General features: G+C 41.9%; 2 long non-coding RNA genes and 1 pseudogene across 3 annotated transcripts in view; 1 reads left to right on the top strand and 2 right to left on the bottom strand.

The window, feature by feature from the left end:
- OR2A1-AS1 (OR2A1 antisense RNA 1) overlaps positions 1–22,839 on the top strand; it is a 117,146-nt gene that overhangs the window by 43,679 nt on the left and 50,628 nt on the right. The window contains exon 3 of the long non-coding RNA NR_126023.1: positions 336–449. This is a non-coding gene — a long non-coding RNA (OR2A1 antisense RNA 1). The remainder of the gene's footprint in view (positions 1–335; positions 450–22,839) is intronic.
- OR2A9P (olfactory receptor family 2 subfamily A member 9 pseudogene) lies at positions 11,535–12,519 on the bottom strand (annotated as a pseudogene). The gene has a single exon (NR_002157.1). The product of NR_002157.1 is annotated as an olfactory receptor family 2 subfamily A member 9 pseudogene (transcript).
- ARHGEF35-AS1 (ARHGEF35 antisense RNA 1) overlaps positions 12,451–22,839 on the bottom strand; it is a 104,269-nt gene continuing 93,880 nt past the window's right edge. The window contains exons 4-5 of the long non-coding RNA NR_126022.1: positions 13,360–13,556; positions 12,451–12,674 (exon numbers count right to left, since the gene is read on the bottom strand). This is a non-coding gene — a long non-coding RNA (ARHGEF35 antisense RNA 1). The remainder of the gene's footprint in view (positions 12,675–13,359; positions 13,557–22,839) is intronic.

Genomic DNA, 22,839 nt, shown 5'->3' with positions numbered 1-22,839 from the left:
CTGTCAGGAAGCAGAACCAGTGTGACAATGAATAAGCTCCTGGCAGGAACCTCTGTAGCTCAGCCTCTCCCTGATGTAATCTGGGTTACTTGTGTTGCAGCAGAACTGGGAAGAAAGGACCCTGAAAAGTTAGCTGGTTCCAAGTGACCCTCCAAGGTATGGAGATGCTTTGGGGAGCTGGTGAGGGAGGCACAGAGCAGACTGGGGAGTCAACGGAGGGGCCAAGGTGTCCCGGTGGGGCTTATTAGAACCTGCCTGAAGGGAGGGTCTCCTAAGACACAAACCACCACTGTAGATCGTGTATTAGAATTATTCTCTAATCTTTATTCTGAAAGGGGAAGAGTGCTGGATTCAGAGCCCACCTCAGGGGAAGACAGGACCCTCTCCAAGATGGTTTCCCTAGAAGCTACTACCTCTCCCTGGAGGGTGGAGATATTTGCTGGTCAAAGGTATTTTCATGTTTATTTCTACTTCTTTCTTCTACTGGACATAGGAGGATTATGAATTTTATATTAAGCAATTATGCAATTTACAAACTAATGAGTTTATTACAATGTGGTCTTTGACCTGCTGGGGTTATGGTATAAACCCAAGGAAAATCTTGCCCAGGTAATCAGGGTGTGAGAACACGCTCACCTGTGTTCCAGCTGTATATGTCCACAGTGAATTGCTTTGGGGACACACAAAAATGCTCCTGATCATATGAAAAGTCTAGTGCCTAGTAGGCCATCCATAAACATTAGAATCTTTTCTTTATTTTTCTTTCCACACCCCGGTGAAGTGCAACAGATATAAATGACAAGCCTGTGAAAACAACAATTTTAGAACTTTTTCCCATATTCCTCATCATATGAACATCAGTTAGAAAAAGTCATTTTAAGGTAGAAAACAGAAAATGTGAGCTAAAACAAGTTAAATATAAGGTTTTTATGATGCCAAACAAACTAATTTAGGAAATGCATCGCCTCAAATTACATGATTTATCACATATCAAGTTGAAGAAGCTTAAGCTTCTAAAAATGGTCAGAGTAAACACATACAAAACGTAAAAGTATACGAAGGAAAATAACACAGACAGAACAGTCCGATCTTAGTAGAAATGGATATGCTTACAGATGTTTGCATGATACGCCAGTATGCAGAAATCAGGAAACTGCCTTTTGGGAGCAAGTAGTCAGCTGAAAGTTCTGTGAATAATGGCTTTAGAGAATTCATTTCTATATAACCAACACCTTAGGAACATTGGTTATAAACACACATTTGAGGGTATAAAAATTAAAAAGATAGAAAATAATTAGTAAGTAAGTATAACATTTGGGAATGTCACACAAACAAAAACTTAGCAAAAACCCTTTAGGAACATGAATATCAATAGCTATAACTCAAAATTGTCAATATTCTGTTAAAATTAAATTGAAATAACTTCTGTTGAAGACAGTAAAAATGACACAAAAGTATATGAAAGAACTCAGCACATAAACGACACAGCCAATATTAATTGAAATGAGAAATATTTACATGATCTTCCAGCATTGGGCATTTGATTTCATTGAACATTTATAACTTCTATGCTTAAAGTACTTTTAGAATTTGACCACAGAGTTCATTTGAGAGTAATACAGACAAAAGCTAACATAAGATGGGTGGGTTTAGCCACCTTACAGAGTAAATTATCCTAAGAGATGTTTTATAAAAGAGCAGCTAATAATGTTCGGAGAAACAGCCAAGACATAGGTAAATATATCTTCAGGATGGCATGACAGAAGTGGAATGAGAAGAGAGTGAAAATGCTAATGTTCTCAATTATATTTCATGAATAATTATGAGTTAAAAGGGCAGAAGTTCATCTGAAATCCTTTGAAACAGAGAACAAAAGAGAAATAATTGTAAGGACTTACTTTTAGGGTTTGTTTCAGCTGCTAGTGTTACCTTAACTAAGACAAATTCCTTAAAAGATGTGGGGTCTTCTTCCCTTGCACAATTGTCTCTGGACTTAACTGCCAGTGTGGGATTGCATTTCCCAGCCCTCTTATATTTAGGTGGGGTCATGTTCTTACAAAAGGTATACAAGCAGAAGAGACTTGTGCAGCTTCCAGGGCTGCAGTGGAAGGAGGGCATGCATGGAGGAGGAGGGCATGCCTCCTCCATGTTTGGCCTTCCCATCACTGGCTGGAAGTGAAGGCCTACAGGGCTCTAGGATGGCGGGACCATGCGATGGAAGGTGCCTGGGTCCCTGCATCACCAGTGGAAGGCTGTCTGTCATCCCTGCCTAGGACTTTACATGAGCAAGATGTAAAGTTTTATTTTGTTAAATCACTGTGATTTGGGAGTTTACCTGTTGCTGTTTATCCTACCTAATACATTATTTAACATTACTATGGCGATGAGAGGAATGAGGAAGGGCTAGTAACTCTAAAGCTAAGGTATTAGGAGCTCTCGAGATCAATTCATATTCTAAAAAGCATCAACATATGGCATGAAATACTGACTTTTTGCTTATGTCATGCAGTTATCTTAGAGTCTGAGGAGTCATGGTTTATTTTGTGTGCTATTTGGTTTCTCATGCAAACTATTTTAATTAATAATATAGGTTAACTTACTTAAACATAGCCCAATATTGAATAATAATGTAAGTGATACAAAATGATATTTTTGAGGAAACACTTTGATACAATTTAGCACAATCCAACAAGATTCTAAACTGCTTTTAATAATTGCTTAATTTTGGCTTTTACTAAAATATATGAGAAATGTGTACTGTTTTGAGAACTTAAGGGGCCAGACGTTTTTTGAGAAAAGGCTTTTTAGAAATTCTAACATTAATACGTGTTTCCTGTAATATTATTGAAAAACATAGAAGGGTTTATTTCTCCTAGTTCATTCCTCTGCCTAAAGCAACTTCTGTTGACTACTTAATGTACATCATTCCAGATCACGAAATTAAATACAGATGTATGTAAACACACATGTGCATACATGTGTACTCACATACACATATACAGGTGTACGAATTTATGTATAGCTAGGAGATTTCCCTGCACAAATGACAAAGTCTTATAAAAATGTTACTTGCTTTTTTCATTTAGCTATATTTGATGAGCTATTTTCATTGCAGCTCATTTTAGATAATACTTGTTCTATTTAATAGCTGTGTAACATTTTTCATAATTTAGTAATTTCAAAATTAACACTTGATCTTTTGAATTTTTGAAATCAATTTAATACCAAATCCATGTACACATTTCTTTGTGCAGTTACATATGTAAGTATTTCTGTAGAATGGATTCTTAGAATTAGTATGCGTGTTTTAAATGTTGGGTAAATAATTTCAGTTTTTTAAATCCAAAATGTGTGCCAATTTATACCTCCACCAACAATGTGTGAGTGTCATCAACATCACATGTAACACCATTTTCCCCTCACAATCTATTGAGTAAAAAAATCTCATTTTATAGTAGATTTCCTGATTGAGATAGATGACATTGTCATATTTATTGGTATGTTGTGTTTATTCTGTTGTCTGTATCTACATATTTTTGTCCATTTTTCTCATGGATTTGTGTATTACCCTTTTGGTTTTTTCACCTATGTTAAAATATATTAGCTGCATTACTATCCTCTTTCTTAGGATGAAATTTCAGGCCAGTCAAAAATTCAGGCTCATTTTTCTCAAGCTTTTAATCATGGGTAGAAAAGACTCCATATGTCCAGGCTGGAGGAGATTGGTATAACTTAGTATAATAGTTACAGACATAGTCTCTGGCCTTTGGAACACCTAAAGAAAAGTCCTCCTGTGCCACCTACTAGCTGTCTGAGGTGTACTTAACATCTCTGTGCCTTGATTTTTTTCATGTATAAATTGTATATAATAGTAATACTTCCCTCTGGCAATTGTTATGAAGATTAGATTAGACATAAATGCATATGTGTAAAACATTGTTTGATATGAAACAAGTACTCAATAAATGCCAGGAATTAATATTATTATGTCACTTGTGCAATGCCAGCACAAATGTACAGATCTGGGAAACTCTGTGAATAAAAGTTATTCTTAATCTTTTTCAAATAGGGTAATGAAACTGTTTTTACTTCCTTAGAGAGGACAGTTAATGTGAAACTTCTTTTGCCTTATTCTGCAAGTCTTATGCCATTCATAGTTCATACAGCATAAATATATTGAAATCAATAATTAATTTTGTGGTTACTCTTGAATTCCTACTATTTGTGAGGCTCAGGAGTTCGAGAATAATTCTCAAAAATTATTCTCAAAAATTCCATTTAATTTTGTCTCCTATGTAAAAGAAAAACAACATACATTCTAGGAAGTTAATAAAAAGGCATAGAATTTGAGAACTAAAAGGAACTTAACAATCATCTAGTCCGACATTTCATTTTATATGTGGGGAAACCAATGTGCAGAGGAATTAAGTGACTTCTCTAAGGTCATGCAGTGAGTAGGTGGTAAATTGGGAGAGGAACCCATAATTTTGTGAAATATATATTTGGTCTTTGTCCCCATTTCTTGGCGTACAGTTTCTAAAACTCTAGGAATCCCCAGAGTGATAAGAGTATCTTTTGTATGTTCTGTGGTTTGAATGTGTCCCCCAAAGTTCATGAGTTGGAAACTTAATCTCCAATGTAACAGTGTTGAAAGGTGGGACCTCTAAGAGGTGATTAGGTCATGAAAACTCTGACTTAATGCATGGATTAATGGTGTTGTCTCAGGAGTGGATTTGTTATGTGGAGATTGGGTTAGTTACAAAAGCAAGTTTGTCCCTCTCTCATCCTCTCACCTTTCACCATGCAGCAAGAAGGCCCTCTGCAGATGCTGACACCTTGATATTGGACTTCCCAGATTCCAGAACTCTGAGAAATAAATTTCTATTTTAAATAAATTACCCAGTCTGTGATATTCTGTTATAGCAACACAAAATGGACTTAGACGGTATGCTAATGAGATGACTGCTGGCAGGGAGCTCTGAAATAACTTTAGGATAGGGGCTGGTTACTACAAAAACAAAGGCATGTTTAGTGGGTTGGGACTTTCAGCCTATACCTCAACCTCTGGGGAGGGGAGAGGGCCTGAAGTTTGAGTTGATCACTAATGGCCAATGATGTAATCAATCATGCCTGTGTAATGAAGGCTTTACAGAAAACCAAACAGGGTTTGCAGACTTTCTTGATTGCTGAACACATGGAGGTTCCTGGAGGGTGGTGTGCCCAGAGAGGTCATGGAAGCTCCATGCCCCTTCTCCAATACCTCACCAGATGCATCTCTCTCATCTGGATGTTCATCTCTATCCTTTGTAATATCCTTCGTAGTAAATGGTCAAACTTAAGTAAAGTGTTTCCCTGAGTTCTGTGAGCCACTTTAGCAAATTAATTGAGCCTAAGGCGGGGGGTCATGAGAGTCCCAATGTATAGCCAGTTGAACAGAAGCACAGGTCGCAACCTGAGGCTTGCAATTACCATCTGTAGTGTTGGGTGGGGGGAACAGGCTTGTGGGATCTGACACTGTCTCCCAGTAGATAGTGTCAGAATTGAATTGATTTTTAGGGCATGCAGTCGGTGTCCATTGCAGATTGCTAGGTGTGTGGGGAAAAACCTCAACGTATCTGTTGTTAGAAGTAAATTGTTGAGTGACTGTGTGAGTATAAGCAAAGGAGTAGGAAAAGCACCTTTGGTTTTTTCAATATTTTAGAGAATCCAGATGTCTTGGCTCTGAGCCAGTCATCTGAGGACCAAACCAGGCCGTGCCTAGTAGTGAACCTCTTCTCTTGACCCAACAAGATTACAAAAATTAAAAACAAACGAATAAACAGAGACAGGTCAAAAAAAGTAAACAAAAACCAAAACAGCAAGTCAAATGAAAGCAGGGCTCTTAATCAAAGTTCATCAAGAAGGTAAGAAAAATTGATATGGTCTGGGAAAACATCAGAGCTGTGAGACAGCATTCCAACTCTTGTTTTTCTCCCACTTTTTCTTTTTTCTTTTCTTTTCTTCCCCCCACCCCCCACCCCCCCCATTGAGACAGGGTCTTTCTCTGTCACCTAGGGTGGAATACAGTGGTGCAACCATGGCTCACTGCGAACTCAACCTCCTAGGCTCAAGCAAGTTTCCCATCTCAGCTTTTCAAGCAGCTGGAACCATAGGCATGTGCCACCTCACCTGGCTAATTTTTTTATGTTTGAAGTTTTTTGAAGAGACAGAGTTTCACTATGTTGCCCAGGCTGGTCTCAAACTCCTGGGCTCAAGCAATCCTCCTGCCTCAGCCTCCCAAAGTGCTGAACTACAGATGTAAGCCATTGTGCCTGGCCTTCACTTTTTCTTAGGAACCATAGATTTAACAATGAATCTCTATATGATTAATATTCAAAGTGTGGTCTATGGATCCGCAGCATCAGCAAGGTATGAGAGATGATAAGAAATGCAAATCTCTGCCTATTTCATTTAGACCTGTTGAATCAGAACCTGTATTTTTGCAAGATCCCTGAATGATTAATATACACATTGACATGTGAGAAGCACTGGTCTACATTACCTAGCAAAGAGTAAAGAATGGTCCTACAGGTCAGTGATGGCAGTGCTCACTCTACATACCAAGGACACCATGGGGGCCAATTTAAGGTAGTGCATGCACTGACTTCCACTCCCAGGGTGTCATCCGTGTCATTTTCAGTAATTACAGTGCCTTATGCTCTACTCTTTGGCAAGACAGAGGAGGGGAACACTCTCTCCATGGCTACTGTGCCAGCACAATCACGTTGTGTCATACTATAACCATAGGGTTTGGCAATTTGGGACAGTCTTTTTGAAAGACCTATAACCTTTGTTCTATATGATAGGAACAAATATATATCATCCTAGTTTTCTTTTATATTAGTCTCGAAATATCCTCTCTGAATGTGTTTACAATTTCTCTGTGGCCACTGACAGATGAGATGTAGTTTATTAATATTCATCTCAGAAGAAACTTTTGCAAAAACGGAATGTATCTGGAGCTAAACATGATTAAATTGACTGACACTGTATTTAATTACATATTTTATGGAGATCCTTTTTTAAAAATATAGAAGTGTGGACTACATGATTACTCATTTATTTATTTAGTCAACATTTATTGAGTAACTACTATGAAACTGGCCTGGTCTAGCCACTGAAGATACAAATATCAATAGGCCCTTTCCAAAAGAATGGTTCTCAGTTAATGTAGAGTAGATTGACTGGACTACAGTTTTATTTCTACCACTTGATATTTCGTTGACATCGAGTAAATTAATTAATTCTCTAAACCTCAATTTCCCCTCTATAAATGAGGATATTATTAGTACTTAATTCACAGTGTTGATGTGAGGATTATATCAAAAACATTTAACATATTGTCTCGTACACAAGTGCTAAATAATTTTTAAGCTACAATTACTTTCTACTATTCTGTGTTATTCAGATAAAATGATTTTTATTTTTATTTTTATTTTATTTTATTTTATTTTATTTTTTTCTGAGATGGAATCTTGCTCTGTTGCCCAGGCTGGAGTGCAGTGGCGTGATCTTGGCTCACTGCAAACCCCGCTTTCCAGGTTCAAGCAATTCTTCTGCCTCAGCCTCCCAAGTAGCTGGAATTACAGGTACATGCCACCATGCCCGGCTAATTTTTTTGTATTCTTAGTAGAGACGGGGTTTCTCCATGTTGGTCAGGCTGGTCTTGAACTCTTGACCTCGTGATCCGCCCGCCTTGGCCTCCCAAAGTGCTGGGATTACAGGCATGAGACACCACGCCAAGCCCAAGGATTTTTAAAATACAGAAATCAGAATATAGTTTAACACTGACAATTGTGTCTAAGTACTCAGCAGATAGTTAAAGGTGCATGAATTGGTGCAGCCAGTGCTTAGTGAGTGCCTACTAGGTGCTAGGCAATGTGCTCATGTTACTGATAAATGAATGAATGGATTCCAATTCCTGCTGTTGCGGAGCTCCCCATCTTAGATGTGAAATTTGATACCTACCTGAGCAATGTTCTCAGGTAAACTTTCAGGTAAATACCACCTGAAAGATTATAACCATTTTAAATATCAATAATGAAACTGAATTCCTTTTTCTTGGGGCTGTTTTTAGATAAAATGCTATAAAACATCCATTTTAGTTCTCATCAATTGGTAAGGCACTGCTGTAACACTGCATTGTCGGTCTTCTCGTTCAGTGTTGTCTGTTTCACTCTCCAGCTCAACCCCAGAGTCCTCACGGCCATGCATCCCTGACCCTTGGAGTCACAGTTCTTTCTTGCGACCACTCCCCCACTTTTTTCACATCTCTGTTTAGAGTCAAGCTGCTTCCTTTAGAAGATGTATACCCCTTTCTATCTAAAGCTGAATATCCATAGTTTGGTCTTAATTATGTGTTTTCTTTCACTGTCACGAGTTCTTTGATCTTTATTCACAGATATGCTCTATAGAGGCCGTGCTGTGTAGTGGTTATGGCTATAGGGTCAGGGATCAGATTGTCTTAGTTCAATCCTGGACTGGGTAATTGTTAGCTGTGAGGTACCGGGCCAGTTGCTTAATCTCTCCGTGCCTCAGTTTCTTTATATGTAAGGTAGGATATTGATTATCTTCTGACTCAAAGTGTTATTTTGAGGATTAATTGAGGTAATACATGTAAAATTCTTAGAGCAGTGACTGGCACAAAGTAAATAAGCTCTGTGTGTTTGTGTGTGTGTGTGTGTGTGTGTGAGAGAGAGAGAGACAGAGAGAAAGAAAGAAAGAGAGAGAGAGAGACTGACTATGGGTGTGTTGGTTCTGGGTCTTAGCTGAACTAAATAGCCAGTCTCAGTGAGAACTACCTTTATTCTCATCTTCTTCATGTTCTGCATTTGTCTAGAAGTCCAGTGCTTTCATGTGACTCAGCACATAAGAGTCACCATCCAGGACAACCAGCCTCTCATACATGATCTCTGGTCCTCCACGCCTTAGAGAGAACAGATCAGCTCCCTGTGGCATACATCAGACTATAAAGAAAGCTTCCTTCTTTTAATAGTTCTGCCTTGGGATACATTTACCTTATCCTTTATTTGATAACATAGATATTAAAATTCTACATTGATGTGCTATGTACAGAGGCTGGGAGCCAGACTGTCTAGGGATAAGTCTGACACTTGCTGCTTTCTGGTTTGTGCATACATAAAATAGTGACAATAGGACCTTCTTCCTGGATTTGTTATGACTAAATGAAATGGCCCATGTAAAGTGCTATTAATATGTAGCATATGCCATTGAGTGGTGAGTCAAAATGTTAGCTATTATTACAAAAACTCATTTGTTTTTACATTTAATAAGTTCTGCCTGGGTATCTTCACCCACAGGGAATAATAATGAGTTGGGTGGAGTACTTGTTAACCCCTAAGTGAAAGGCATACACTTATTTTGCTGAAAAAGTATTAACATGCTCTCTTGTAAAATTGAGAAAGACTCTGGAAGCAAGTGGCATCCTAATCTTAGGGAAGGTTAGAAAGTAGAATTTATAGGTAACACTCTGGGAAGCCACCTAAAATGCATGGGGACTCATCTCTAACCATTAGATTTGTAGTGAAGATTTGTTAAAGAAAATTAAAATGGAAACCAGACATGGAGAATCACTTAGATGATTCAGGCTGGGTTAGGTCACTTATGGAATCACTTTTCCTGGAGCAGGGAAAGCCAGTTAGGCCTCATAAGTGACCTAACCCAGACTGATTTGCAAACACAAGTGAAAATTAACTTGAACTATTTCTTATAAATACTTGTATTAAAGCAAAATGAAATTTAAGATTAACCACTCAGAAGCTGCCAACTAAGTTATATAACTAAAGACTTTCCAGCAGTATAGGCCAACTAAGGCAATTGTATAAAGGTAACCAATCAAATATTTTCTTTGCTTTAGTTCCGTGGTTGTCCTGTAAAAGCCCTCCCCTTGCATTCCTTTAGTGGAGCCCATGAACCACTTATAGTTTGGAGCTGTCTGATTCATGAATTGCTATTTGCTCAAGTAAACTCTTTAAAATTTTATTGTGCCTCAGTTTACCTTTTAACAGGAAAATAGATTGGCTCAGCAAAAATTTCTTCACCACCATGGTTGAAGAGCTAGCTACATACCTACACTGTCTGGTGAAATTTCCTTTTTCAGGGGTAAGACATTCTAATGAGGGAAATGATCCACAACTGGACTAACCAAGGTGGAAGAGCTGATGAAAAGACACTGGAGAATCACGCTTAGAGACAGATGTGCATATGTACAATACACAGCTCAACACTCAATGTTTTCTGAAGAAACCATAAACAACCCAAATAGTTTTCTTGGATACTCATTTTCAGCCTTTTCAACAGGGAATGCCCAGTTTTGCCTCTTTGCCAGCTACTAGCTACTGAGTTTACCCTGAACTTTGTAAACACTGTTCACTGTTCCCACACGGTCTGTAGTGTTCTTTTGCTTCTCTTCTCTCTTTTCCCTTATATATGTTCTTTTTGTTTTCCTTTTTTGTTTTCTTTTTTGAGACAGTGTCTCCCCGTCTCCCAGGCTGGAGTGCAGTGGCGCAATCTTGGCTCACTGCAACCTCTGCCTCCCAGGTTCAAGCAATTCTCATTCCTCAGTCACCAGAATAGCTGGGATCACAGGCATGCACCACCACGCCCAGCTAATTTTTGTATTTTTAGTAGAGATGCAGTTTTGCCACATTGTCCAGGCTGGTCTCAAACTCCTGGCCTCAAGTGTTCCACCCACCTCAGCCTCCCAAAGTGCTGGGGTTACGGACATGAGCCACTGTGCCTGACTTATCTCTTCTTTTAAGTTTGTTCCTTCACTCAGCCTACTAGTTAACTCCCGTACATGAGTTAATAAGTTTTACACAAAATTTCTCAGCGCATGCAACACAACTAACTAAATCCCTCTATTTAACAGGGAAAGTGCAATTGTGTGAGAATGGACAAGTGTGCTGCTGGGTTTTGGGAATCACTTCTTTGGCTGAACCTTTTTATTTTCTTTTAAATCTTATGACATATGCCGTTAGTGAGTTTATATAGTTCGGTGTATTAGTCTGCTTTCACACTGCCATAAAGAACCACCCGGGACTGGATAATTTCTAAAGAAAAGAAGTTTAATTGGCTCACAGTTCCACATGGCTGGAGAGGCCTCAGGAAAGGTACAATCATGGCGGAAGCCACAGGGGAAGCAAGGCACGTCTTACCATGGCACAGCAGGAGAGAGAGAGCAAAGGGAGAAGTGCTGCACTTTTAAACCATCAGATTTCGTGAGAACTCGTTCACTATCAACAGAACAGCAAGGGGGAAATCCCTCCCCATGATCCAATCACCTCCCACCAGGTCCCTCCCCTGACATGCGGGGATTACAATTTGACATGAGATTTGGGTGGGGACACAGAGCCAAACTATATCATTTGGTTAAAGAAGTAAGTGGCCTGTATTTAACTTTTGGGACTGGGAAAATGAATTAAAATAATTCTTTATTTTACAGATATTAAAGTAATTGTGAAATAAAAGAAAAAATTGTCTGATAAAACCACATCTCATAGAAACCCAATGAATGCAACACATCTAAAATTTTATCTGCAAAAAACGAGAGAAGACTTGCCCTTCTGTCAGTAAAGCACAGATAAAGAGAAGTAAACTTTTCTGGATTGAGGCAATAATTGGGCATCAAGAGTCCACGTGACAACTGAGGCTGGCAGTTCAAATGTCACACCTCTTAGGAATGACTTTCCTTGCACAGTGCTCTCCTCAGGGCACCCTTGACCTCTACATTCCTCAGGTTGTAAATCAGGGGGTTTAGCATCGGGTTGAAAGAACTGTAAAATAGAAAAAGGACCTTCTGCTGCTCCTCAGGATGGCGGGACTTAGGGGCCATGTACATGACGATGGCGCTGCCAAAGAAGAGTCCCACTACGCAGAGGTGGGAGGAGCAGGTGGAGAAGGCCTTTCTGCGGCCCTCCCCAGACTGGATCCTCAGGATGGCCGCCAGGATGTGTGAGTAGGAGACCAGCACCAGGCAGAGTGGTCCCACCAGGATGAACATGCAGGCTGCAAAGATGACCACCTGGTTGAGCCAGGTATCAGCACAGGCCAGCCTGAGGACAGACAGGATTTCACAGAAGAAGTGGTTGATTTCACGAGGCCCACAAAAGGGCAGTCTTAGGATGAGGCTCACATGGACCATAGCCAGGAGGGAGCCACATGTCCAGGAAGTGATGGCCAGAGTGATGCAGACTTTCCAGGTCATGATGATGAAATATCGGAGAGGGTGGCAGATGGCCACGTACCGATCGTAGGACATCAGCACCAACAGGAGGCATTCAGTATGTGCAAAACTCAAAAAGAGAAAGGTCTATGTCATGCAGCCAGCAAAGGAGATGGGCTTGGCTGGATGCAGGAGGTTCACCAGCATCTGGGGCACTGTGTTGCAGGCATAGGCGATGTTGACGACGGCCAGGTGTGAGAGGAAGAAGTACATGGGGGTGTGGAGTCTGGAGTCCAGTGAGATGAGCCCCAGGATGGTCCCATTCCCCAGCAGGGTGAAGACATAGAACAGGGAGAAGAGCCCAAAGAGGAGCATCTGAATCCTTGGGCCCAGGAGAAATCCCAGTAGGAGGAACTCTGTGACCATTGTCTGATTTTTCACCATTTCACTACTAAAAAACAAACAAAGAAACAAACAAAAAACAAGCAGCTGTGTGACACGCTTTTTTTTAAAGTCTATTTTATTTATTGTTTTATAAATTTTTAGTTTGTGGAAAATTGTTAGTAAATGTCTTTAAGAACTCATTCAGTTATACATAAGTAAAGTTTTACTTGAAAACTTGCTGTTAATTCAAGTCCTTCATATTTGTAACAATCACTATACCTGAAATCCCAAATGCAAGAAATTGTTTTTCAAATAGAAAAAGTGTAGCTGACTTCAGCAACAAGAATTGCAATATACTATATAAGTAACCAACGGAAGGAAATTATTGACAAATCAATAATTCAATTTGGCACTTGACAAATGGCAGCATCAATGAATTAGCAGTAAGATGCTTAGCCTGTGAGTTGGTGGTGTGCTGAATTGATGAATTTGTTTTTTTGACCTTGGATCTTGGATCACAGTTTCCTTAATGAACTTCAACATGGTTTTTGGTGCAAACATTTGTCAATGCCATTGCAAGAACAAAATAACTTGAGTCTTATCTACTTTAGTGAGATTAAAGTGAGGAAAGGCACTGTTTTTGGCCAGTCCCTAGTTTAATTTTTGTCAGTACTAACTGGGATATAAAGGTGTGTTTCCCGAGGATATAAGAGACAGACTTGCATTCTGAGAAATAAATTTGTGAAACCCACATGTAACTGATGAGAATAACAATCTAGAGGTGAGAAACACGACACTTTCAGGAAACATTGAGTGGAGAGTTTGAGGAGCCTCCAGAAGGCCACTGCGGGTGCTTTGATGAAATCTCTGGGAGGCACAGCAGAAGAATGTGATTCATTCAGTGAGCCCAAGTGTAGTCGGTTGTATGGCGTGCCTGTCTGGAGGAAGACTGTAGGAAAAAGAAGGCAGGTGACCAATATGGAGTGTAGTCATCAGGCCAGAGGGGCAGCATTTGGCAATGCATCCTTAATGACATTCAGGGTAAGGAAAAAGGGGAACCAGCTGCACCAGGATCCTAGCCATCTGGTGATTCTATGTCTACAGTCTGGATAGATGGTTTGGGTAAATAGCCCTAGCTAGTAAAATCTCTAATTAGCCCCTCTTGCTCTGATTTCATATTCATCAATCAACTGTTAGGTAACAATTTATCTTCTTGAGCAGTTATTTCTACAAAGAAGAAATGTGTTGAGTACTAAACTTCTTGACTCCTTTTGCAGTCACATTTTCAAGTTTAAATAAATGAACATTTAGGTATCCTGGCTTATGCATTTTCCTCTTTTGCTTTTGGGTTGTATGATGCAGTTCCTGAACAAAATTCCCAAAGCTGAATCTAAAATGTGAGGACCAGACTCTGGGTCAAGGAAACCTCATTGAAGCAAGAACTGGGGAAAGAGACAGATTCCTTTCTAACAGCAACAGATGAGATATCTATTTTCTTATAAGCATTATTGATAGGTGATCAAGTTACCTTGACACAAAAATAATCTAAATAACAAATTAAAAATTCCTCACTTGTGACCAGGACTTATTAAATTTTAGGTTGATAGTAAAAATTTCTCAGTAGGTGCCGTCATATGCACCTGTAGTTCCAGCTACTTGGGAGGCTGAAAGCAGGAGGATAGCTTGAGCCCAGGAGTTCCAGGACAGCCTGGATAACATGGCAAGCCCTCATCTCATAAAATAACATAAAATAAAAAATTTCTGTGTTTATCAAACTTTCTAAATTTATTTTTTAAGCTCATAAGGCATAGAAAAATATTTGACTGTGAAAGATGTATTCAAACCCACCCACTTATAAAATAATAATTTCCTTTCTCAATTTTTCATTTCCCTCAAAAGGAAGACATAAAGGAAAAAAGAAACACAGTAAAAGCCATGATTTTTTGAAGCCAACTGAAAGACAGGTGTAAAAGAAGGAAAATAAGGTACCTCATAGTCTGAGTATTCTTTCAGAACAGTAGTCCTGTTTGATTCAGCCTTGATTTCTTTTAAAGAAATGGAGAGGGCATGTTCATTTTTATATCCCTTTAATTGTGTATGTTAATACACATTTTCAAATGACATATAAATATAAGCAAATGAATTAATAACTAAGTATTGATGTCCTTATATTAGATCTGGTTTCTTTTACGGTATAGTCAAGTATAATTATGCCAAATTCAGCCCCTTCTTCCCAAAGGGAATAAAATGCTACAATTCAGGAGAATTTCATCCCTAATGATCTGAATTAAAATGAAATTTTAAAAATGTGTCAAGAACAACGGGAAGATTCATAAAGTGTTTAAACACTTGAATTTTGAATCACTTCTCTTTTATCTATTTTTTTTCTTATTTTATTTGATACCTATGTGACATACTTATTGTTAATTAAAGACAATCAAGAGGAAACCAAACAGAGTAAATTTCTAGGGGGTTGGAAGGAGTGGACTGGGGGATTTTGCTCTACCTTGACACACGTTGTAATTCCAAATGTACCTTTCAGGCATAGAGATGTACATTAATTTATATGTGTACAATTTCAGAATTTAAAAAATGACAGATTATCTGGCTAATACATGGTAAGGAAACTAGAATTTTAAAGTAAATATCTAAGAAGGCATTTGTTGCTGTATATATAAGCAAAACAGCGTAACTTTATGGAACCTGCATTTTAAAAAGCAAATCTCAAAATTTAATGATCTGTCAGGTTCTTTTTTAAAATCTTGGGCATGGGTAAAGCAGAATCGCTGAAGTGATTACCTGTAGTTAATCTGTAGCTCAGCTGAGCTGCAGGGCTGTTTACTTGTAAGTAACAAGTGAGAAATGAAAAGTAAGTTATCTCATTGCTTACATAGTTATGAGCCAAGACTTTGCAAAGTTGTCTTATGGAGTCAGAGTTGATAACGTAAGTACGTTTTCTGGATATAAGAACTATCGTGGACCATGAAGAACTGAGTGTCAGTTTCATGTAACGACCGTCTATTCAATAATCTGCTAGAGGTTGATAACAATTGATCCTACTCTTGAGTGCTTCCTGTGAACTGGGCACTGGAGGAACACAGTGTAGCAAGTTGATGGTTCTGAGCTTGTGAAGATTTCATTGTGAAGATGTGCCTCGGGAGGAAAAGCAGAAATAAATAAAAAGGTACACATTAAACAAAAATCCTATAAAAAGAAAATTTAAAGTATTATTAATTATTACATCGTTTTCTCACTTTGCTCACTCGGTATAAATCAAGGACCCTCTCATACCTGGGAATGAGTTTTGTATTCCAGCCTAGAAGTAGAGCCAGTCCCAGTTTGAACTTTTTGCCTTTCTGTACTCCCAGTTCTTACCCTTTTGCTGAGCCTAGGACACATGCAAGGCCTGCCCTTCTTAATCCAGATTTTTGAGTCTTAATCCCAATTTTTCCTATAGTTTCCCATACACTCCATGGCAGCTTAGAGTAGGCTGAAAACTGCTGAACTGTTTAAGACTTAATCCTTCAGAGTAACATGGCAGAAGTAGCACACTTTTTTAACATAAAGCTGTTCAGGACTCTATTACAGAAGAGGCTATACTTCCTTAATTACATTCTATTCTACAGCCACCTCAAAATAACTAGTGAACACGTTCAACCAGGATCATTGGCAACAGCCAATGGGCACAGTGATCTGGAAATGGTCTAGCCAAGCTGTTTGGGCTGTAGACCATGGCATTCCTAAGAGCTAAATAGGCAAGGAGTCCATTAATATTTCACTTGACTTATGTCACCATGGAAACCCCTGGAGTAGTGAATGGCTTTGGGGAGTGGTCAGATTCAACCAAAAATAACAGAAATCTCTGTCCCCCAGGTAAAGGATTCCTACTTTGTGTGTGTCTGTGTGTGCACACAGGCACACTCGAGAGACTTTTGGCATTCTTTGAAGTCACTGGAGGGGCACAGAGATAAACCCACTCAGCCTTGGCCTCCAAGACTAACGAACACGTTTCCCTGAAAGAATAAAAAAAAAATACAGGCATAAGAAAACACACAAACATGGGCTTAGAGATTTAAATACACACACACACACACACACACACACAGGCCCTAGAAGGAACATACACCCTGAGATATGCACTCATTCTAAAATAAACTCGGGAATACAGAAGGACACGGGCATGTCCTTTCAGAGAGGCACACTTCTAGGCCCTAAGTAGGAGAAGGAAGAGGGGAGAGGAAGAGGCAGGGAGAGGGACAGGGAGGGGGGAGGAGGGAGGGAGAGAGAGAGAGAAACGAAGAAGGGGGCGGAGGAGGAGATGGAGGAGACACTCTTTATTCTATAGGAGGAGACATCACGGAAGAGAAATCAACACTGAGGCCTTGGCCGGGCGCGGTGGCTCACGCCTGTAATCCCAGCACTTTGGGAGGCCGAGGCGGGTGCATCACCTGAGGTCAGGAGTTTCCAGACCAGCCTGGCCAACATGGCGAAACCCGGCCTCTACTAAAAAATACAAAAATTAGCCGGGCATGGTGGCGCGGACCTGTAATCCCAGCTACTCGGGAGGCTGAGGCAGGAGAATCTCTTGAACCCGGAGACGGAGGTTGCAGTGAGCCGAGATCGCGCCATTGCACTCCAGCCTGGGCAACAGGGCGAGACTCCGTCTCAGAAAAAACAACAACAACAACAACAACGAACAAACCAAAAACCAATGAGGCCTGAAGATAAAGACACATGTACAACCACGGATGTCAGACTTCCAGAGGCACGGCCAAGGCAAAAGACAAACACATACAGACTGCAGCAGGCAGACAGGCCGGTTCCAGAGTCAGGCTCCGGTGAAGCTCCGAAGAAACAAACACGCAGGGAGATTTCGGAGGCGTCCGAGGACACCGTGGGGCCCGGCTGGCTCCCTCTGTCTCTGTGCGCGCCCCTTCCCCGGGTCACCCCGCCTGCGCCCGACCTGCGCCCGCGCACCGCGCCCTCGGGGCTCCCTGGGACAGCCCGCGGCCTGGCCCGTGCGCCCGGGCTCCCCTCCCCGCCGGCCCGGCACTTCCCAGCTCTGACGCGGGAGCTTCTTTCACACCAATGGGGCTCGCGCGCGGAGGGGCCCTGCCCCTCCTCCGGGAAGGTGTGTCCCTGTTTCCTCACCTGAAACTTCCTAGGAGAACCCGATCCCTCCCTCCCGTCGGGCGGCCAGGGGCGGGTCGCGGGTGGGGCGGCCGGGCCTGCGCTGGGGACGGCTCTGGGGACTGCGGCCGGCGCCGGGACCTGGAGGGGACGCTGGGGCCGAAGCAGCATGTGACACCGACCAGGTGGGTGCCCTCCTCCCGTCTCGGCCCTGGGCTCCCGGCGGCTGTGGAGCCCGGCGGAGGTGGGGCAGGGACAGGAAGGAAGAGGAAGCCAGGCCTTTCCCAGGGATCAGCCCCCGCTGGGTCCGGGGCGCAGGCTCCGGAAATGGGGGGGCTGGGCCCGCAGGCAGGGCTCGGGGTGTGTGGCTGAGGACCCTGGTGGGGAAGAGGAGAGGAACTAGAGGAAATGTTGTTGCCTACAAGTTTGCTTCCGGTCGGGTCCCGCCTAGGAAATGGGCACCCTGCCCCCAGACGTTCCCCGGGCCAATAATCAGGGCTCTTTCTTCAAAGTAGGCGCCCTGGGGAAAGCTAAGCCATATCAGAAGGAATAACTGAGATTCCCTTTCTAGGCTGTTCCTTACCTGGAGAGGTTTTATCGGCTCCTTTTCCTTAACCAGGCCGGGGCCTTTCCTTATGTATCTCCATAGGTATTTGCATACTGTGTGAGTCTATGTGTAGCTTCTCTCCGTGTTAACCAAAGCTCCGTAACCTGGAACAGTGAATCCTGCCCTGCCCCTCACCCCAGTTCCCTACATATGGGGAGCCTCCTAAAGCTTGATGTGAATCACAACGTTGCATTCTTAGCAAGGTGGAAAGAAGTTATTTAGAGTTGGGGGCTGAGGTAGGCGTTGGGGTGCTAGAATGCGGACGCAGAGCTCTAGAACCCCTGAGCATCTTTTGCAGTTGCCTTCCGGCAAGACTACCGGAGGAGAGCCAGTTGTGATACTACGTCATTTCCAGATCTCAGTCCCTTTCTTCCCTTCCTGGATCTTGGGTTCCAAAGACAGATTTGCCCTCCTGTCTACCTAGAAGTGAACTCTGGCCAGGACTCTTGTCTGGTTGAGAGAGAAGGGTGTGTCAAACAGATGAGAGAGGGTGGTTTTCCTTTCGAGGTTCCTCCCTAGCTTGCTCCCCTACTGCACTCCACTGTCTGGCCTTGCATCTTGGGCCTAATCCAGAGGTCCCAGCTCCAGCTAAAAAGCTCTTGATGTGGCCTCTGTCTCAGACGTCTTGTTTTATCCACATTTGGAGCATGAAGAAGTTCCTGGCATAGGCCTTAGCAAAATGGGTGTCATTTGTTAACCAATCTGTGGGCCTAAAAGTGAAGCCGTGGCTAGTGAAGGAGTCCTGGGGAGCTGGGAAGATGGGATGAGGGCGTGTCAGTTCTGGGTGAGACTGATATGCAGGAGGAATGTATGTCATGGTCCTAGTGGGGAGGAGAGAGAAATCAGGAGGAGTGCAAAGGAATCCCTCTCGTCAACAGAATATAGTGATTCTCAATAGAGAGAAGAGTGTTCATATATTAGAGGTCCTGAGAGTGTATCAGTGCCCTTAACGCGGTCTGTCTGAGGTTCCGTGGCCACGTTACACGTGGTGTCTGTGGGATAGACAGGAATACGTCATTTGTGGTGTCTGGAGAGGTCAGTCGCTATGTGGTATGGACAGGAATGGAGTCACTCGTAGGGTCTTGGGTTCAACGGGAGCAGCATTACTCAAGTGTCAGTGGTGTAGACAAACAGGTGACCAACAGCTCTAGTGTAGACAGGGGCTGGGTCACTCACAGTGTCTGTGGAGTAAGCAGGAGTTGATCACTTATAGTGCCTGCAAGGTAGACTGGAACAAAGTCACCCTCAAGGTCTATGTTAATACACAAACACGTCACTCACACTAATGTTATCTGTGTGGATGCCACCAGGACCACAGATGAGATTGTAGAGTGTAAGTCAGCATTGACACTAATAATGTTCTTATATAAACTATCTGGTCTATAAGGCAGTTGGTGTGACATTTTCAGACATTAGAGAATAGATAAATGTGTATTACAGCTTTCACTGGCATGGTGGGACTTTCCCGCAATGGATAGAACACACATTGTAGTAGTCAGTGGTCCAGAAAGCTACCCCTGTTTTGATATCTTTGTAGTATTGAGGGCAGTGATGTCAAACAGTGAATAAAGTTATATATCTATGTGGTGATCTTATTTTAACCTCAATATTATTTTAGTGATTTGTAAGTCAGAATATTTGAAATCAACCTTGCTAGAAAATCCAGGAAGCATGGTCCTCAAAAATATATATATGGCACTGAGTCTCAGTTCAAAGATTTGGCAGTTTGATTGGGGAGGGGTTGTATCCTTGAAATACAGTGTTGTTTCTAGTGACTAGAAATAGACAAGAGCTAAGGTGTTGGGGGGGGGGCTCTAGGGAAGATAGTGAGCTCTGTCACACATTATGTTAAAGGGATGACTTGAAGCTTTGCCTCTCAAGAAGTCACACGTGGGTGAGGTTATGTGGATGCAAAATGTCTGTGGTCTGAAGCAAGGCCGTATCCCCATAATCCCATGCCCTGGCTTTGCCTGTACACAGATAAACAGTGATTATTCACCCTCAGTGGAGAAGGAGATGAGGATGTTTGCACTCTAACGTAATGAGCATTGCAAAAAACTCTCTCCTGATGCCTTTACGTGAGTAAGACCATGATTTACAGATTTCCTTTCACTTTGTCACATTTTAGCTTTGTCATGCCTGATTGCAACGGGATCACTGAGATAGGATCAAGTATAGGGAACGTGGGGTATGTTCTCCCTTTGCGGTAACTGGTGGCTGAGCAGGTGACCACTGATATTTCCAAATGAAAAAAGACAGTTAGAAACGGTGTCAATGGGCTTGCAGAGGCAGGCATGCACTGTGCCACTAGATTGGAACAGAAAATGTCCAGGTAGCACATGGTATTTATAGATATACCCTAGATATGGCAGAAACACACTTTTATTTAGAGGCTACTTGTTTTGAAGACGTGATGGTGTATATGGAGGAGAGGGCCTGAACCATGCAGATGTAAGTGAGGAGAGACTACAGGTTTAGTCCCATGGTCTCCTTAGGCCAAGTTTCAGAAAGTGTCTTAAAGTAAGCAAGTATATTATTCGATGTGTGGTTGAGAGAACAGGGCCACATCACAGAATCACCCATAGGGATTATAGTATTTTGTACTTAAGGGCTAGACATAGGGAGCCAATCGCATATGGTGTCAGTTAACTGGAAAAGGACATAAAAGTCCTTCTGCCTGTGTACAATTATGTCAGACATATCTCTTTGCCCCATATAGATGGTATCTCTGTCTCTGGGATGGCCAGAATCTTGTCACATACTACTCTGCAGTGTGCTAGGGACCTGCCTGTTTGGTTATGTCAGGCTCTATTGCAAGAGTTTGTAAGGATGGCTCAGTGTGTGTGTGTGTGTGTGTGTGTGTGTGTGTGTGTGTGTGTGTACACAGTGGCTAAGCAGGACAGTATTCTGAGCAGGTGAGTTTTCAGTTTAAGCCTGGACCAGACAAGAAAGGTGCACGGTCAGGTGCAGCATTGGGTCCATAGAATTCTGGGGTCTTCTCTGGACTGATGGCCTGCCAGCTTTCTTTCAGTAGGACCTCTAAGTGCTTACAGGAGACTTAAGTCAAGCGACTTTGCTTCAGGTTTGCCCATACCATTTGCTTAGGAGATTTGAGCAAGGGTCTAGGGTCTTTGACCTTTAGTTTCTTCATCTGTAAATTGAGCAGTTTCTGTGTGTCTCTGAAGGTCCTTCCGGCTTTATGAATCCTGTGTTTCTCTCTTACACTTATTCTCTGTCTCTCAGGTCAACAGTATTTACCACAGCCACCATTTCTATGACCCTTAAAGATAGCAGTGTACATTTTTATGTTACCTTATTTAATCTTTACTAGAACTGTGAAGGAATCCTTTTATCTCCTTTTTAAAGATAAGAAAATGGATGTTCAAATAAATTTAATGGTTTCTACAATTGTCTTAAAACCAGCAAAGATACCAGAGAGGCACAACCAAACACTGATCCATACTCTTCTAACTCTATATTCTTCCGTCATTCATTCATACAATACATCTTTGTTGAGGGCCAACTAGGCTTCAGGCAGAGGGGGTTATATGGCAGTGTTTGTCCCTTCATGGTGCTCATAATCTAGCCTGGAAAATAGACATTAAATATGACATGACAAGTGCAAGGTGTGTTTGAGGAGAAGCAAAGGATTCTCTGTTGCAAAAGAGGATTCCAGGCAGAGGAGCAGTGTCTACAAAGGCCTACAGGTGAGAGACACAGAGAGAAGTGAGCTAAAGACACTGAAAGCCAGTGGGAGAGGGGGGGGATGGGGGCAGGGACAGATGGTGACAGGTGAATAGGCTGCTAGAGAAGAAGGCAGAGCCAGGTTGTGCAGGGAGTATAACCCATGCTGAAGATTTAGATTTCATCTCAAGAGCATTCAGAGGCTGCTGAAGAATCTAAGCTAGAACTGGTGCTTTTGAAGCTCACTTAGGTGCTGTATGGAGAAAGGACTGGAATAACGTGAAATGGGTGGAGGCCAGTGCCCAAGCTGTGGCCGGGTGCAGTGGCCCGGGCGAGACGGTAGCAGCATGCACCAGTGGAGAGGGATGGGATAGAAGTGGACAGTCTTAAGGGATATTTAGCAGACGAGGTCAATAGCACATGGTGATTGATTAGATATGGGGAATCTGGGCCAGGAGGGAAACAAGAATTTTATTTTATTTTAATTAATTAATTAATTTATTTAGAGACAGAGTCTCACTCTGTCACCTAGGCTGGAGTGCAGTGATGTGATCTTGGCTCACTGCAGCCTCTGCCTCCTGGGCTCAAGGGATCCTCCCATCTCAGCCCCCAAGTAGCTGGAACTACAGCCACGTGCCACCATGCTCCACTAATTTTTGTATTTTTTGTGGAGACAGGGTTTCACCAGGTTGTCCAGGCTGGTCTCAAACTCCTAGATTCAAGCAGTCAACCTGCCTCAGCCTCCCAGAGTGTCAGGATTATATATATAAAGTGCATTGGGAAACTCAGTTTTTCATCTGTAAAATGGGCA

The sequence above is a fragment of the Homo sapiens genome, chromosome 7 (assembly GCF_000001405.40).
Source record: "Homo sapiens chromosome 7, GRCh38.p14 Primary Assembly".
Classification (NCBI taxonomy): domain Eukaryota; kingdom Metazoa; phylum Chordata; class Mammalia; order Primates; family Hominidae; genus Homo; species Homo sapiens.
This window is presented reverse-complemented; position numbering and strand designations above follow the sequence as displayed.